The sequence below is a fragment of the Homo sapiens genome, chromosome 10 (assembly GCF_000001405.40).
Source record: "Homo sapiens chromosome 10, GRCh38.p14 Primary Assembly".
Lineage (NCBI taxonomy): Eukaryota > Metazoa > Chordata > Mammalia > Primates > Hominidae > Homo > Homo sapiens.
Window position 1 is genome coordinate 67,539,064 of NC_000010.11, and position 19,699 is coordinate 67,558,762.

At 35.6% G+C, this 19,699-nt stretch overlaps 1 protein-coding gene across 7 annotated transcripts in view; it reads right to left on the reverse strand.

Moving 5' to 3' along the window:
• The window catches only part of CTNNA3 (catenin alpha 3), a 1,851,072-nt gene that overhangs the window by 1,626,541 nt on the left and 204,832 nt on the right, over positions 1-19,699 (reverse strand). For all 7 annotated transcript variants that reach the window (XM_047425124.1, NM_013266.4, XM_017016152.2 and 4 more), the window contains one exon: positions 440-606. In XM_047425124.1, coding sequence (XP_047281080.1) covers positions 440-606 — 167 coding nt within the window. The remainder of the gene's footprint in view (positions 1-439; positions 607-19,699) is intronic.

A 19,699-nucleotide genomic window follows, 5' to 3' on the forward strand; every position in this document is an offset into this window, starting at 1 on the left:
TATCCTGAATCAAGAGGACATGGCAAAGTAGAATTCATTTACAAACCAGGATAAATTTCCAAATGTCTTCAACTTTAAGGTTTCTATTTCTCAAGTTATTTATACTCATATGTTTATCATATATTATCTATATAATTATGTTATTTATTTATTTATAGAGAGCATAGTTATTTAAATGATCAAAAGTCTAGAACTTTTCCTAGCCATTTCCTTATAAGCAAGCCATCTCCTGTTTAATTTCCCATTGGCTTTAGAACTACTCTGGCTTCCTTATTTTGAGGTATACATTAGTCTTCACAACCCAGTCTAGTCTGCTTCTGAAGGGGTGATGTTAAGAAATGAGAGTGAAGCCAAGATGCACTAGGATCGACGCCAGGTTCAGAGAATGAAATTAGAAGTGAAGACAATGCCAAGGTAAACTAAGCCATCTTTTACTTACAGCTGACACATGTTGCAAGAGGCACATGACATCAATCATGTCCGCAAGGATAAGGAGTCTCGTCACCGCAGCCAGCAAGGCACGGGCAGCTTGAACCACAGCCTCCCTTTTTGGGAGAAAACAGGGGTCATCTGTAAATCTCTCAGCTGATACTTTCAGAGCTTCACCTGAAAAATACAACCCCATATAAGTTATACTTTAAGTTTCAACTATGCCTATTTCAGGATTTATCAGCTAACCTAATTCCAAGTAAATTCCAAGACTAAGCATAATATAAAAATATTGTCAGTTGACAATTTTCTCTCTCAATAAACAATGCAGTTTCAAATTAACATTTGTTTTTCACAAATATTTTGGAATTAAGAAGCATAATATCATTTTCCTGCAAGAAAGTTGTGCTCAACTGACTAGGAACATCTAGTAAAATTGCTGCCAACTTCTGCATTTGCTGAATCTCATTTCTTGTAAAAGGTTTTATTACTAAAGCTTCAATCATAAACAATCCTGCTTATAAAAACAAGGTAAATCTTTATTGAGTTACTTTCCAAATCAATGGATGTTAGGACTGCAGCTCTCTGATAAAAGTTTAACATAGGCAAATTTATTCTAAACTATCAATATAATGAATAAACTATATCCTAAATTTAGTCACAGAAATAGTACTTCATAGTACCTAATTGTTAGAGAATATTGTGTCCACTATTTTTAATGCCTTTTCATTTAAAATATATTTTATTATAAAAGAAATATGTATTCTTTCATTGTTTTAAGTTCCCAGTTCAAAAGGGTATAAAATGAAAATATTTAATAAAAAACTCTCTTTACTCCCATCCAACAACATAATTGATAATTACCACATCCACTATTTTTTAAGTTTTTAAATCTAAACTTCTTTTTATTATAAAAGTACTATAATACGTGTCCATTACTTTTAAATAATTTACCACACTAAAGAACATCAAGTAAAAATTTTAAAAGTCTCCAAACTAATCCCCCAAAGCACCAACTATTCAGCTCTTGCATATCTGTCCAGAAATTTTTCCATGAATGTATGATTTATGTGTATAAGCATATATAGATACATGTTTTATATACATAAATGTATATGTATGTTTTATACATGTATGTGTTTTATGAATATATTCATATACATTCATATATACAAATATGTTTTATAAAGACAGATTTTATAAGAAAACATATTTTATATGTTATAAGAAGAAAATGTAAAAATATAGAGCCTTTAGCAAGTAGTATCCTACTAGAGAGATTTTCTGTAATTTCTTCTTTTTGCTTTTCAATTTATTTTCCTTTCATACTGGGAAACAGATGACCAGGAGGCAATATAGCACAGTAATTAACAGTGTGTACTCTGGAGCCAGACTGCTTCAATGTCTCTGTCCTAGTATCTCAATCAAGTCACTTAACATCATTACTCTTCGTTTTCTTCTTTTTTTAATAATATAAAATAATAAACCTACTATTTTATGAGTATTAAATAAGAGTACATAAGTTATATTTCATTGATACACTGTAACTTATTTTACCAGGCCCCTATTGAACACATAAGTCATTTCCAACTTTTTCCTATTTTATATAATACTATAAAGAACGTCCAGGACATATATCTTTACATGCATGAACAAGTTTAGCTTTAGGATAAATTCCTAAAAGTAGAATTCCTGAGTCAAGGGGCAAATGAATTTTAAGTTTTGTTATATATTGCCCCAAAATTCTCCAAAATACAGTCATCCCATCAAAAATATACAAAAGGGTCTGTCTTATCCATTTATGGATTACATCCATAAATATTTTAGTTTCATTGACTCATGAACCTTAACATAAAGAAAACTGAGTCAGTTATTTTATTAAATAAAATAAAGAATACTGTTTCTTATAATAGACAAAACTTGTGAGGAGGGTCTGAGACTGTCTCAACATGTTAGTATGTCTCATTTAGATCTCTTTAGCAATACCAAGTTAGGAACTAGGACTCTAGACACTTCTGAGATCAAATTCATATATTCCCCCTCTAGTTCTGGGAACTTGGACAGTAAATGCCTTCAATGTCCTTATCTATAGGAAAGGGGTAAAAATATGACTTATCTCATAGTGTTTCTTGGATGCTTAGATGACAGCATTCATATATTTAGCACAGTATTTAAACATGGAAAGCACTCAACAAAGATTAACTGTTATTTTGGAGGAAATTTCTAATAGAGATGGTAAATTTTTAATGCCAATAAGTGGGTGATTTTCATCTGCTTCTCTGCAAGTCAGAATTGCTGCTATGAGACTGTGAAAAGTTAAACTGACTTCCAGAATTTAGAGAGCAGATGAATGCCCACAAAAAAGATTAATTTTTTCTTTTTGTGATTCTGAGTTGGAAAGTTATAATAGCCTTTTTAGAATACTGTCTTTGACTTCACATACTAAAACTAAATATATATCAAAAAATTATGTATTTTTGACTCTAAAAATGTTGGAATGTTGAACAACTGGCTGGAGAGCCATATTCAGAAAGAGATCATTTAAACAATTAGTATATTCTTGTCTTTGTTAAAGGAATATAAACAGCCAGTCAGGTAGCTCTGTTGGGAAGAGAAAAGTCACTCCCAAAATACATTAATAAAGATGCTACAACTTAAATTCTTATTGCTGGACTTATCCCTAATTTCCCCAATATTCCTAACCCTTTTCAGCTGGTTTCAGCCCACACTCTGGTCCTAAGTTAAACATCACTTCCTATGGGAAGCTTGGACCCCCCATTACCAAGATAGGTCTTACAATAAGATTCTATGTTTTCTAGCATAACCTTCATCATAATTTATTATAACAAATTGTATCAAAACCTGTCTTTTCTTCTGGATCATAAAACTAGTAAGTGCAAGAGCTGCATTGGCCCTGGTCACCACAGCATTTCCAGGATCTAGAAGAGTGCCTACTCTGTTGCAGATATTCAATACATTGACTATCTACTGCCAAATGAATATATGAATGAACATTATTCAACTTTTCTTTGATAAACATTTGTTGTTCCCTCTATAAAACAGCTGTATCCTAGGTATCCAGGATATAGATATCAGTATGAAACAGTATTTTTGCAGCCCAAGAAGTTCAGATCAAGTGAAAGTCAACAAACACTGATACAGGTTTCTGGTACAGGCCTGTACAAAGTACTAAGAGACACAGAGGAGGATCTACCTCTGCCTGAGGTGTCAGAAGATATACAAAGGAATGTTCTAGGTAAAAGAAACATGTTCCAACTATTGATAAGGTATTGACAACGACAGCTGGTTTATAGAATTTAGCCAGTTCACTGTCATATTGATTTCTGACAGGAGAAAATGGTTATTTTCCTAATTAAATAGAAAAAAAGGTACAGGTTTCCTTTCCATCTAGAATATTAGCATCTATGTTTTATAAAGTCTACATGTGGAGAGTCTACTCTTTTGAAATATCATTCCCAATCTTGCTTATAATGCTTTTACTTTGAAGTTTGCTGAATAGGAAATTTCACTTTTAAAATACATACAAATAAAAATAACTACATTTTTTCTTCAAGAAATCCCACTCTATACATAAAAATAATTTACTAAAGGTCTTGAAAATGCCAGAAGAACTAGGTTTAGAAAACTTCTTTCTACTGAGTCCATTTAGTTCCTTTCCTAAAAACGGGATTTTTTTTAATCGTTAAAAAAAATCAGTTATGAAATGCCTAGGTACTAGAGTATATAGTCTACAAATATCTATAGAGATAACTTTTACACACCTATATAAGTGTAAGAGATGACAATTTCTGAATATACAAAAATCTGGCTGATAAACTTTTTATATGATCAAATAAATAAACTCCAGAAGTACAAAAAAATTGTTGGCCAAATACACATATTACCAAATATTCTTTATTTTATAAAGCTTCCTATATGGTTATTTTACAAGTTCCTTTGCTTCATTTAAAAGTATAATTCTACTTTCTAAAAGTGCTTATATTGATTATAAACTTAAAAGTCAAGGAAAACATAGTATAAGAAAAATATCCAGAGGAAAAAGAGAATAACCAAAATGAAAAGGGGCAGGTACTAAAGATAAAAAACTTCCCAAACTTTTACTTGACATTATGTTTATTATTCAATTAAGATTTCTAATATATGCATCTGTCCAAGTGATACAAATACATCATGGTAAAAGGTTTATATCATACACATATAACATGCATTAGTACATATTCATTGATTCAATATATAATAGGGTTCACAGACTGAGACTCAACATTCAGGGTTTGGTTTTATTTGTTTTTGGTTGGGAAACTGCCATTTTGAATTTGAAAACTCTGAAGAGGTAGAAGCTTGAATTTAACTTTTTAGCAGACAATTATTTTATTTGGCAGGGAAGAGAGGAGGATGACCTCAATTCGATCCTAAACTTACACAGATGTTAAAAAAAAATAGTAAAGACTCCCCTTTAAAATGTTCAAGACAGTTTGACTACTAGGAGCAAACATGTTTTGTATGATAAAAGAAAACCTTATCATGGCAGGTGGAAGGGCAGCAAAGCTAGCCACTGCTGTGTGGACCCAAGGTTGGGTGCTACGGCAGGGTTATAGACTAGGAATGTGGCTGCATATGGTTGCTATTGTAAACTATTGGCTATGTCTTATTTCCATTTTATTATCTTCGAACTCAGTAAAGTCTTATTAAAAGTTATAATTTGCTTCCAGTCAAGGGAGAATAACAGAGACCAGATTCCTTTCCTACCTGAAACAAAAAAATAGACCAAATAAATGCAAAAATGGTTATAAGGCACTGGATGTTAGGCAGTGAAGGACAGTAATCCCTGAGAAATGGACCAAAAAAAACAGGATGAGCCCTTTGATAGCCCCAGCTTACCACCATGAGAGACTTTCCAGGCAATGATACAGGAAGGGGAAACCAAGGCAGAGCCTGGCAAACTCTCTGAGCTGGGGAGACAAAGCTGAGAGTCCTGGGAGATCAAGGCAGTAAATGTATAAAACAGAATAGAGAATGATAAAGGGAAGAGATACACAGAGAAAGAACACTGATAATCTGCACATGCTCCCTCTTGAGTATTCAGCTGAATACTGATCAACCAGTATACTGGAGGAAACCACCCAAGGCTAGGGAAAGAACCACCCAAAAGGATTTGAGGTAACTGTACTTGCCACTCACACAGGACTGGGAATAATGCTTGTCCAACCACCAGACTGGAAAACTTCATAACTCATGGGACATTGGATAGAATACAAAGAAGAGTCTTGCCTCAATAGTGGGGAAGAATTAGCCTTAGACTGAACATTGCCCTAGTGCCTTCTAACAAAGCAATTCAGAGAAAACAGAATTCCCAATTTCAAGACCAGCAGCATTCATGCATCAGAGAAGAGAGATAGCCAGGTAAAGGCAACAGCAGACTAGCATAATGATTTAATGAAAATGGAAGGACATGAGCAGCCAGTCACTGAGCGCTGCACCATTGGGAACTCTCAAAATAAGCTGGGAAATACTTTGATTGGGCTGATTCTATTAAAAAAAATTTTTTCATAACTAATCTGTGTTTTTTTATTATTATACTTTAAGTTCTAGGGTACACGTGCACAACGTGCAGGTTTGTTACATATGTATATATGTGCCATGTTGGTAAAATTATATAAAATGTTTTATAAAACATAAAATTTGATGGGGCTAGTTTCTATAAAAGTAATAGAAACATCTCCCAACATCATAGATAGGATATAGTAGAAGCTGTCTTAAAAGACCTCCTCTTAACCACCTCTCTAGATTAATAAACTTTTTATTCCTCTCAGCAACATATTAATGGTATCTCCTTTCCGGTATGTAAAATATACTGAAGACCTTCTGCTTCCAATAATTGAAGTTAATCAAGAAGTTGAAAAGGCTTGCTCCCCAATCTTTTCATGTGAGTTGTAATTATAATTATATAGTTTTATTAACTATATAAACCTATCAAATATAAGTGTAAAAATATCTATTAATTCTTTAAAAACTAATTTTTAATGCTTTAGAGACATTCAGTAAAGATGAGTTGTTAAGTTGGGTATGGAAGGAAAAAATGGTAAAAGTTGGAGCAGGGCAAGGCAAGGAAAAGGATTATAAAAGATCAAGAAAGATTCTGCAGTTAGGTAGCTTCGCAAGTGTCATTAAGTTTTCTTCCATGAAGACACCAAAACTGGAAATTTTAGTCAATATAGTTTGGTTGTGGTTTCGGTCAAAACGACTATATAAGTTATGCGTTTGTGTGTGTACAACTAATGAACTAATGAACTTTTTACTTCTAATAATGAGAACAAATATATCTTGAAGCAAAAATTATCTGCTATATTTTAAAACACTGGAAATAACTTTCAGTCACATTTAGTCAAACTTTAATTATGTACTTGTATGTAAAAGTACACAACTCCTAACTTAAAACTTTATTAATATCTTTTTATGAGCAAAATATTTTGTACAATGTATCTATAAACTATGCACCTAAATAAATTTCAATATTAAGGAAGATTTTAAAATAGAGCTAAACATCTCTTCAGAATTTCAAAGAAAAATGAAATTTTTTAATTTTCAAAAAATTGACCAAGTAATTTCATGTCATATTTAAATTTGACAATTTTTTTTTCTATGCAGGCTCTCACTTTGTCACCTAGGCTGGAGTACAGGGGTAATCTTAGCTCACTGCAGTCTCAAACTCCTGGGATCAAGCAATCCTCCTGCCTCAGCCTTCCAAGGAGCTGAGACTACAGGTATGCATCACCAAACCCAATTAATTTTTTGTATCTCTTATAGAGATAGGGTCTCTTTTTGTTGCCCAAGCTGGTCTAGAACTCCTGGCCTCAAGTGATCCTCCCTCTTCGGCCTCTCAAAATGCTGGGATTATAGCCATGACCCACCCCACTGAGCTAAATTTGACAATAATTTTAAGATAATAAAATACACAAAATATATTCCTGCAACATTATTATCATCTCCTGGGGTTAGAAGTTTCATATACCTAAAGTGGTTTACAGTAAAACAAACTGACAAAGGAACAAAGCAATCCATATTGTAAACCAGTCAATAAAAAGAAAATAGTATGGATTTATAACTTAAATAAATGTTTAAACTTTGAGCTGAAATAGCTGCCCATAATTATTCTCTATTGAATTTCTTTCCCAACAACCTATTGACTGATATGCCACCCACCAATAAACACTTTTATATTATTCTTGATGTAAATTTAATTCTTTTGAGGTGAAAAAATAAACCTTATAACTAAGATTTCCGACTAAAGTTAATTTATCATTTTTTCTAATATTTCCTTTTATGGCTAAATGTAGTAAGCTTAGCCATGAATACACTTAAATTATACTATGATGAATTGGCAAAAACTGATATCTTTGCTTTTTTGACATCTGCTAAAAGAATCTCATTCTAGTGCTTTGAAGTTGAAAGTTAATTTTTAATAAATGATACCTAACCCTTACAAACAGTTCATTCATTCATATATCAACTATTCAGCACTAAAATACGCAAAGCACTATGGGGTATACAACAACGATTATAACATGGTCTCCACCAGGTACCCTCAAATAGGAAAATGAACCACTTCAATGAGAAGATTCTTCTGTTTGGTTTTAAATGTCAGCATCTTCAGATACACCTACCTTAAAGTATATTAAGACATAATTCCATAGCACCTCCCCCCCAAAAAATACAAGTATAATAATTCTTCATATGCACAATTCCTAGATTTCAATATTTTATGTATGATTTAAAAGTTCTCTGAGAAAAAATGAAAAACGAGAGTGACTACATCAAAGGATCACTCAATCATTTTAAAATAAAATTACCAGTTATCAATTATCACTTATAATCAGCCTCAACAAAGTTCTATTCATCAAGAGGTTAAGTAATAAAGTAGAATTCAGGCTTCACCTTACTAGAAATTCAAGTCCCACAGCTGTGATCAGAGCAATAAATATTTAACAAATTTATTCTTTCATATATCACCCCATTCAGAGTACTACAGCTGTTAATCAGTAAGGTCAAATTTGGCCCTATTGATATGCTCCTTATGCAGAAATGACAGAAGTTATTTTAGGGCCCCATTATAAAGTCTTAGTTCACAAGCTCACACAAAACTTGCAAGGAAGTCAATGTGGCCAACTGTACATACTGAAAGTACAGAGTGAAACCCAAAGGAGCATAAAAATTTAGTGAAGATAAACATCCAGGATTCTGAACCATTACAAAAGTAAATACATTCCATTCACAAGAGCATCCAACAAATAAAACATTTAGGAATAAATTTAACAAAGAAGTGTAAGACTTGTACACTGAAAACTGCAAAACATTGCTGACAAATTAAAGAAGACCTAAATAAATGATCATATCTCATGCTCATGGATTAGAAGACTTAATATTGTTAAGATAGCAATACTCCCCATATCGGTCCACAGATTCACAATAATCCCTGACTGATATCGCTTAGATGTTTATCCCCGCCAAATCTCATGTTGAAATGTAATCCCCAGTGTTGGAGGTGGGACCCAGTGGGAGGTGTTTGGGTCATGAGGGTGCATCCCTTATGAATGTCTTGGTGCTGTCCTCATGATAACAAGTGAGTTCTTGCTCAGTTCCCATGAGATCTAGTTGTTTAAAAGAGTCTGGGACCTCGCACTCCTCTTGCTCCCACTCTCGTCATGTGACAATGCTAGCTCCCCCTTTGCCTTCCACCATGATTGGAAGCTTCCTGAGGCCCTCACCAGAAGCAGATGCTGGTGCTATGCTCCATGTACAATCTGCAGAACCATAAGCCAATTAAATCTCTTTTCTTTATAAATTACCCAGTCTCAGGTGTTCCTTTATAGCAATGCAAAAATGGACTAACACTTTTAACAAAATCCTTACTGGCTCTTTCAAAGAAATTCACCAGCTGATCCTAAAATTCATACAGAAATGCAAGGGACCCAGAATAGCCAAAACAATCTTGAAAAAGAGGGGCAAAGTTATAGAAATCACACTTCCCAATTTCAAAACTTACTAGGAAGCTATAATAACCAATAGAATTGCTATCTCAGAAATAAACCTTTACGTTTATGGTAGATCATAGACCTACTTGCAAGAGCTAAAACTATAAAACTCTTAGAAAAAGAAAACAGGAATACAACTTTATAATCTTGAGTTAGGCAACAATGTCTTATATATAACACCAAAAGTACAAGCAATAAAAAAAATTGATGAACTGGACAATCAAAACTTAAACCTTTTGGACTCCAAAAAAAAAATCATTAAGAAGGTAAAAAGACAACACACAGAATGGAAGAAAATGTTTGTAAACCCTATATCCAATAAGGGGCTTATATCCAGAATCTATTAAAAAAAAACTTACTACTTAATAATAAAAAGACAATCCTGTTTTTAAAATAGGCGAAGAGTCTAAATAGACATTTCTCCAAAGAAAAAATACAAATGGTCAATAAGCACATAAAATGACATTCTATCATAAATATAATCTAAATTATTAAAGCATAATTAAAGATGTACAGAGGTTTTAGTAAGGACCTTTGAATAAGTTTTTTTTATTATTTAAAAATAGGCACATTTCTTGTGTAGTCAAAAACACAAGGCTAAAAACATACCTGCAGAGGGGACCAAAAAAAAATCAATGTGTATGTATATGTACTGGAAACTGTCACTTTAATAACTGTAAAAACTAGTGAGTAATTATTATAATGAAGCAGTAGAAAAGTAACATTTACATACATTGCAGCTAACTTCTCTCCTTGGGGGGAATATCAAGATCATTAAAAGGGTGGGGGTAGAGGGTGTCGATCTTGTTCACCATGCTGCCCCAAAACCATGAGCAGAATGCATCTCTCTCGGAAATCCCTGGAGACCCCATAGAGCTCATTTTGTAGCTAAAAGCAAACTCTGAGCTATAAATATTAGTTGTCTTTTGCACAAAAATTAACAGTAGCTTTAATTGTCCTTTCTTTTTACTTTTCCCACCAATGATACATTCAGTCTGAGAAACTTGAGATTCTTAACAAGTAAGAGGTCAAATATTTTTGAAATTCCTTGTATTCTTAGTTCCTTTACTTCAGACAGAGTCGGCAAACTATGGAAACAAGCCAAATCCAGCCTGCCCTGTTTATGTGCAGCCTACAAGCTATGAATGTTTTTTATATTTTTAAAGGTTGGGAAAAAATCAAAAGAATAATATTTTATGACATGAAAAATTATATAAAATGTAAATTTCAGTATACATAAATAAAGCTTTATTGGAACACAACCATAACTTTTTGTTTATTGCTTACATATTTCTATAGCTATTTTCATTCTTCAACACACAGAGTTAAATACTTGCAACAATGTACGGCCCACAAAGCCTGAAATATTTACTTTCTGGCCTTTCACAGAGAATGTTTGCTGATCCCTCATCTGAGATAAATGAACTAATAAAATTCATAATCTGTTTTTTTAAAAAGCACTTCATTTTTAAAAAGTTCATACAACTAACAAGGGTCTCCATTTTGATATATATAAATGTGGCCCTAAAAATTCTTTTTCAAAAATTATTTAGTTGGCTTTCATATCTTAAGCTGAATACATGGACCTTGCCTGAAAATCCCAGACAACATAAAGTTGAGTTTATCCCTTAAAAGAATAAAATTTGACCCAGCAGTCTTTCAGCTTCAGTATTCATATATCTAATAATATTAGCATCTCAGGAATTTCCCATATGCCTCAGTTAAATAGTTCCCCGAAGAATACTCAGCCAGCTCTAAATAATGCTCCCAGTGTAATATCAAAAGGAGGTATGAATTTTCTCCTCACCCCAAAGCATAATAGTGAAAAACTATACTGCAGGAGTCAACAGCCAGCTCATCTACCTTGTTCGCTACCTTTCAATGAAATCCTGAGCAAGTCACATAATTTTTTGGTATCAATATCCTTATTATGCAAACACAAAGATTATGGAAACACATAGAATAAAGAAAATAGGTGAAATAAAGAAATAAAGGTGAAATGAAGAAAGAATAAAGAAATTATTTAAAGAATAAAGAAATTCTTTTTTTAAAGAATAAATTATTTAAATTAAGAATTCTTTATTTAAAGAATAAAGAAATTCTTTTATTAAAGAATAAAGAAATTTCTTTACCGTAGAATAAAGAAATTTCTTTATTCATAGAATAAAGAAATAGGTGAAATAAAGAAAATAGGTGAAAGCCTTTAGTTCTCAGAGAAACATACTAAATAAACATGGAGTTTTTAAAAGGCAAAAGTATCCTCACTGCTGTGTTCATATTTTATATATTTTAGTGTGAAGATTTATCACGTCAAAATCAAGGCTACTCCCATGAAACTTACAGAAGAATTTCCCATGGAGCTTCAGCAAACTTTCGTGTCTCAGTCTATCATAAATCTCAGCTTGCTATTGACAGGGAAAGGAGGCAGAGAAGAGCTGGGTAGAGGAGGGTGTGGTTCCTGGCGAGGGCTCCACCTCCAGGCCTGTGCCCACAGACCTAGGTGAGGACAGGCACTCCTGACTTTGCACCCAAATGTTGCATTTCCCAGGACTGTCCTGGCCTGCCACTCCCCAGTCCTGTGCCTGTAAAAACTCCCGAGACTCTGGCAGGCAGACACACAAGCGGCTGCACGTGGAGAGAAACACATCTTGGTGGAGGAATACACAAGCAGCTGAACATTGAGAGGGCGTCGAGAGGAGGAGATCGGTGGAAGAAGACACAAGTGGCTGGACGTGAAGAGGACATCAAGAGCAGACCCGCAGGCCATCGACCGGTGGAACGACGTGGAGTTTTACTGGGCAGTCGGAGAAGAGTCAGGCAGTTTTCTAGGGGAAACCATCTCCTTTCTGTCTCCCCCACCTGCTGAGAGCTACTTCCACTCAATAAAAGCTTGAACTCATTCTCCAAGCCCATGTGTGATCCAATTCTTCTGGTACACCAAGGCAAGAACCCCAGGATACAAAAAGCCCTGTCCTTGAGATAAGGCAGGGGTCTCATTGAGCTAACGCAAGCCGTCTACGGATGGCTAAACTAAAAGAGCACCCTGTAACACATGCCCACTGGGGCTTCAGAGCTGTAAACATTCGCCCCTAGACACTGTTGTGGGGTTGGAGCCCCACAGCCTGCCCGTCTGTATGCTCCCCTAGAGATGTGAGCAGCGGGGCACTGAAGAAGCGAGCCACACTCCCATCACACACCCCCTGAGGAGGACAAGGGAACTTTTCCCGTTTCACTATCAATCACACTATTTTAGGGGTTCAACTGTCCATAACCAGTGGACTATCAATAGAAACTCTCACTTCCAAATGCCTCCCTCAGGGATGTTTGAAACTGGTATTTATTAAACTGGGTAAATGCCATAGACTAAAGAGGAAAGAAGAGGTCAAAAATATTGGGTAAAAAAAGGAGCAATGAAAAATTTTGGAATAGAAGGAGGAAACGGTGAAGCAAGTAAGGGAAAATAAGAGTTGCTAATTCTTTCTTTTGGGTTATCAGTATAGACTGAATATTTGATGAGGAAGATAAAACAGGAGATCTCATTGATAGCCGCTAGTGTCCAAAAGCAAAGAAAAATGAGAAGTATTATCTCATATAATGTGCTAGCACACAGAAAAGGATAACAACGCACATTCAAGAATACAATACGACAATTCAAGGATGCATTTGATATTACAGGTCCATGCATATTTAAGTACAATCATTCCTTATTTTATAGTTTCTTATAGGTTTTTTTTCGTTGTTAGAGGTTAGACCTGAACCAGCCAAATCCTTGAGCCAACTTGGAATAATGATTATATGATTTTCATGCAATACTATTTTTTTTCTTCAACTTTTAAGTTCAGGGGTACATGTGCAGGATGTACAGGTTTGTTACCTGTACATCGACGCCCTCTCAATGTTCAGCTGCTTGTGTATTCCTCCACCAAGATGTGTTTGTCTCCACATCCAGCCACTTGTGTGTCTGCCTGCTAGAGTCTCGGGGGTTTTTATAGGCACAGGACTGGGGAGTGGCAGGCCAGGACAGTCAGGTAAATGTGTACCATGGTGGTTTGCTGCATAGATCATCCCATCACCTAAGTATTAAGCCCAGCACCCATTATCAATTATTCCTGATGCTCTCCCTCCCCAACCCAACCCCTGACAGGACCCAGTGTGTGTTGTTCCCGCCTTGTGCCCATGTGTTCTCATCACTCAGCTCCCACTTATATGTGAGAACATGCAGTGTTTGGTTTTCTGTTCCTGCATTAGTTTGCTGAGGATAAGGACTTCCAATTCCATTCATGTCCCTGCAAAGGACATGATCTCATTTCTTTTTATGGCTGCATAGTATTCCATGATGTATATGTACCACATTTTCTTCATCCAGTCTGTCATTAATGGATGCAATACTATTTTGAGTGGATTCTTCATCAATTTTTTTCTTTGGCCCTTTTTTAACCCCGTTTTTTTACCACCCAATCTCTTTCATTGCCAGAAACTTCTCTTGTTCTGTGATCTTAAATTTTCACTGATTTGGGGGCACTGGTGCACCTTTTAGTTTTGTCTTTCAACTGTGATTTCAATTTGAGCAGGAATTTAGTATGGAATGTGTGTGTGATAAAAACAGTTTTGCTGTAAAGAACATGCTCTTCAATAAAGTTCAACAACTCCTTTCTCTCCATAATAGACCCTCAGGCACTTAGACACACTAGCTCCTAAAAATCGTTTGTAACTATACCCCTTAAATCTATATTTAATAATAATATATTATGTACAAAATTTAATTCATTTTACCTAGGTTTATACATACTAACTGGTACTTTGAAGTCAAGTCATTCTTTCTAAATGCTTCTTTTATTAGAAATGAGTTCATAAGCTGTGATCCTGGAAAAACATCTTGAGTCACTATCGAAATCTAAACATTTTAAAGTCCTCTTAAAATGTTACTAATTAACTGAGAGAGTCTTTAGCCCAAAGCGTCTCCTATTAGTGTGGGAGAAATAATAGTAATCTGGACATTAAGAAACCTGCATTTTACTTATTAGCAGCATTTGAGGAATGGCATTTAAAAATACGGGAAATAAGATTATTCTCTGGGAATTAAACTGCAGTCATCACTTACACAATGGATGGAAGAGATATACAAAAAAAGAAAAAGAATTTTCTTCTCACATTCAAGAATACAATAGAAATGAATTATATTTTGAGGGTCAAATGACCAGTCATCTTTTTTTCTTTTCTTTTTTTTTTAATTATACTTTAAGTTCTAGGGTACATGTGCATAATGTGCAGGTTTGTTACGTATGTATACATGTGCCATGTTGGTGTGCTGCACCCATTAACTCATCATTTACATTAGGTATATCTCCTAATGCTATCCCTCCCCGTTCCCCCAACCCCACGACAGGCCCCAGTGTGTGGTGTTCCCCACCCTGTGTCCAAGTGTTCCCATTGTTCAATGACCACCTATGAGTGAGAACATACAGTGTTTGGTTTTCTGTCCTTGTGATACTTTGCTCAGAATGATGGTTTCCAGCTTCATCCATGTCCCTACAAAGGACATCAACCCATCCTTTTTTATGGCTGCATAGTATTCCATGGGGTATATGTGTCACATTTTCTTAATCCAGTCTATCATTGTTGGACATTTGGGTTGGTTTCAAGTCTTTGCTATTGTGAATAGTGCCACAATAAACATACGTGTGCATGTGTCTTTGTAGCAGCATGATTTATAATACTTTGGATATATACCCAGTAATGGGATCACTGGATCAAACAGTGTTTCTGGTTCTACATCCTTGAGGAATTGCCACACTGTCTTCCACAATGGTTGAACTAGTTTACAGTCCCAACAGTGTAAAAGTGTTCCTATTTCTCCACATCCTCTCCAGCACCTGTTGTTTCCTGACTTTCTAATGATCGCCATTCTAAGTGGTGTGAGATGGTATCTCATTGTGGTTTTGATTTGCATTTCTCTGATGGCCAGTGATTGTGAGCATTTTTTCATGTGTCTGTTGGCTGCATAAATGTCTTCTTTTGAGAAGTGTCTATTCATATCCTTCACTTACTGTTTGATGGGGTTGATTTTTTTCTTGTAAATTTGTTTAAGTTCTTTGTAGATTCTGTATATTAGCCTTTTGTCAGATGGGTAGATTGCAAAAATTTTCTCCCATTCTATACGTTGCCTGTTCACTCTGATGGTAGTTTCTTTTGCTGTGCAGAAGCTCTTCAGTTTAATTAGATCCCATTTGTCAATTTTGGCTTTTGTTGCCATTGCTTTTGGTGTTTTAGACATGAAGTCCTTGCGCATGCCTATGTCCTGAATGGTGTTGCCTAGGTTTTCTTCTAGGGTTTTTATCGTTTTAGGTCTGACATTTAAGTCTTTAATCCATCTGGAATTAATTTTTGTATAAGGTGTAAGGAAGGGATCCAGTTTCAGCTTTCTACATATGGCTAGCCAGTTTTCCCAGCACCATTTATTGAATAGGGAATCCTTTCCCTATTTCTTGTTTTTGTCAGGTTTGTCAAAGATCAGAATATTGTACATGTGCGGTATTATTTCTGAGGGCTCTGTTCTGTTTCATTGGTTGATATCTCTGTTTTGGTACCAGTACCATGCTGTTTTGGTTATGTAGTCTTGTAGTTCAGTTTGAAGTCTGGTAGTGTGATGCCTCCAGCTTTGTTCTTTTGGCTTAGGATTGTCTTGGCAATGCGGGCTCTTTTTTGGTTCCATATGAACTTTAAGTAGTTTTTTTCCAATTCTGTGAAGAAAGTCATTGGTAGCTTGATGCAGATGGCATTGAATCTATAAATTACCTTGGGCAGTATGGCCATTTTCACGATATTGATTCTTCCTATCCATGAGCATGGAATGTTCTTCCATTTGTTTGAGTCCTCTTTTATTTCGTTGAGCAGTGGTTTGTAGTTCTCCTTGAAGAGATCCTTCACATATCTTGTAAGTTGGATTCCTAGGTATTTTATTCTCTTTGAAGCAATTGTGAATGAGAGTTCACTCATGATTTAGCTCTCTGTTTGTCTGTTATTGGTATATAGGAATGCTTGTGATTTTTGTACATTGATTTTGTATCCTGAGACTTTGTTGAAGTTGCTTATCAGCTTAAGGAGATTTTGGGCTGAGACGATGGGGTTTTCTAGATATACTATCATGTTATCTGCAAACAGAGACAATTTGACTTCCTCTTTTCCTAATTGAATACCCTTTATTTCTTTCTCCTGCCTGATTGCCCTGGCCAGAACTTCCAACACTATGTTGAAAAGGAGTGGTGAGAGAGGGCATCCCTGTCTTGTGCCAGTTTTCAAAGGGAATGCTTCCAGTTTTTGCCCATTCAGTATGATATTGGCTGTGGGTTTTCATACATAGCTCTTATTATTTTGAGATATGTCCAATGAATACCTAATTTATTGAGAGTTTTTAGCATGAAGGGTTGTTGAATTCTGTCGAAGCCTTTTCTGCATCTATTAAGATAATTCATGTGGTTTTTGTCTTTGGTTCTGTTTATATGATGGATTACATTTATTGATTTGTGTATGTTGAACCAGCCTTGCATCCCAGGGATAAAGCCCACTTGATCATGGTGGATAAGCTTTTTGATGTGCTGCTGGATTCGGTTTGCCAATATTTTATTGAGGATTTGTGCATCGATGTTCATCAGGGTTATTGGCCTAAAATCCTCTTTTTTTGTTGTGTCTCTGCCAGGCTTTGGTATCAGGATGATGCTGGCCTCATAAAATGAGTTAAGGAGGATTCCCTGTTTTTCCATAAATTGGAATAGTTTCAGAAGGAATAGTACCAGCTCCTTTTTGTACCTCTGGTAGAATTCAGGTGTGAATCCATCTGGTCCTGGAATTTTTTTGTTTGGTAGGCTCTTAATTATTGCCTCAATTTCAGAGCCTGTTATTGGTCTATTCAGGGATTCAACTTCCTCCTGGTTTAGTCTTGGGAGGGTGTATATGTCCAGGAATTTATCCATTTCTTTTAGATTTTCTAGTTTATTTGCTTAGAGGTGTTTATAGTATTCTCTGATGGTACTTTGTATCTCTGTGGGATCAGTGTTGATATCCCCTTTATCATTTTTTATTGCATCTATTTGATTCTTCTCTCTTTTCTTCTTTATTAGTCTTCATAGCAGTCTATCAATTTTGTTGATCTTTTCAAAAAACCAGCTCCTGGATTCATTGATTTTTTGAAGGGTTTTTTGTGTCTCTATCTCCTTCAGTTCTGCTCTGATCTTACTTATTTCTTGCCTTCTGCTAGCTTTTGAATGTGTTCGCTCTTGCTTCTCTAGTTCTTTTAATTGTGATGTTAGGGTGTCAATTTTGGATCTTTCCTGCTTTCTCTTGTGGGCATTTAGTGCTATAAATTTCCCCCTACACACTGCTTTAAATGTGTCCCAGAGATTCTGGTATGCTGTGTCTTTGTTCTCATTGGTTTCACAGAATATCTTTATTTCTGCCTTCATTTTGTTATGTACCCAGTAGTCATTCAGGAGCAGGTTGTTCAGTTTCCATGTAGTTGAGCAGTTTTGAGTTAGTTTCTTAATCCTGACTTCTAGTTTGATTGCACTGTGACCAGTCATCTTAAAGTAACAGAATGGATCCCAGGCTTCAATGGCTAACCTTGACTATAAATTAACTAAAAGTTTTGGTATATCTAAAAAAAGGAATTATCAATCAAAAAGGGACTGTGTCAACCATGGAAAAAAGAAAGTTGGTGATATTCATCCAAACAGTTTCCAACAGAGTAAGAGCTTTATATAATAAACCATACATAGTAGAACCCCATTGGTAAGATTATCTCTACAGAAAGGATAGATGAATCTGATGATTTTTAACTTTCACCATTAAGCATTCAATTTATCCAGCCTCCTTTGTTCTATCTCTATGCTCACTAAGCAATCTTCTGATTATTATTTATGTTGCCTATATTGATCCATCTACAGTGAGAGAACATATTGGTTGTGTGGGTGTACTTTGTTCTGCATAACTTTTTCATTATAAATTTAAAATAGGTTCTGATTTTACATCTTAGCTTCATGATCTTAGTTAATGTGAGTATACTCCTGAGAGACAAATCTGGTCTTGGCATATGTATCTGAAAGGGATCTCAGTTTCAAATAACAGAATCTATTCTAACTAATTTAAAAGGTAAAGGAATTTGTTCAGGGTTATTGGGTTGTTTACAGAATTTCTGCAAGGCCCAGAAAAGCCAGGTTTGAATGATATTAAGGCAGGAACATCAACCAAGAACAACTTCTAATGCCACCATAGCTCTATTTTAGGTAGAAACCCCACTACTACCACCACTCATTACTCAACACCTATGATACTAGGAACTGGGCCTGAGAAACTCTGTCAGGGCTGCCCTAAAAGAACAAATGCTTCTGCCACTAGATTGCAACAAGACCCTATCTCTCTAAACATGGCCACTCTCATACTGCTTACCTCATCCTTCCAAGTTTCACAGGTATGCATCTTTTTTGCAGAACCTAAGCCATATTCCCAAATGCAAGAAGAGTCTTGGAAATGTATCTTTTTATCTTTCCAACCTTTCTAAACATGGCCACTCTCATACTGCTTACCTCATCCTTACAAGTCTCACAGGTATGCATCTTTTTTGCAGAACCTGAGTCATAGTCCCAGATGCAAGAAGAGCCTTGGAAATGTATTTTTTATCTTTCCAACCTCTGTAGTATGGTCCCTCCCAAATATACTCCACTAGAAAGGAGCTGGAATAGGTCAAGTGAATCTTACCTTATTAAAACTATTATACTGCTTAAAACACTTTTAAAACTGTGTCATGTTTGACACCTCTTCCACCCACCCCTTTTTCTCTCAGTTCTACCATGCTTAAAAATAGGCTTTTAATATCAATTCTATTCTTCACTGAGATTGCTATAAAGATCTTGCCATTGATATATGTCAAAGTGTTCTGAAAAAGCATGAAACTATCTGAATGCGGCTGGCAGCCAAGATGGCCGAATAGGAACAGCGCCGGTCTACAGCTCCCAGCGTGAGCGACGCAGAAGACGGGTGATTTCTGCATTTCCATCTGAGGTACCGGGTTCATCTCACTAGGGCGTGCCAGACAGTGGGCACAGGACAGTGGGTGCAGTGCACTGTGCGCGAGCCAAAGCAGGGCAAGCATTGCCTCACTCGAGAAGCGCAAGGGGTCAGGGAGTTCCCTTTCCTGGTCAAAGAAAGGGGTGACAGATGGCACCTGG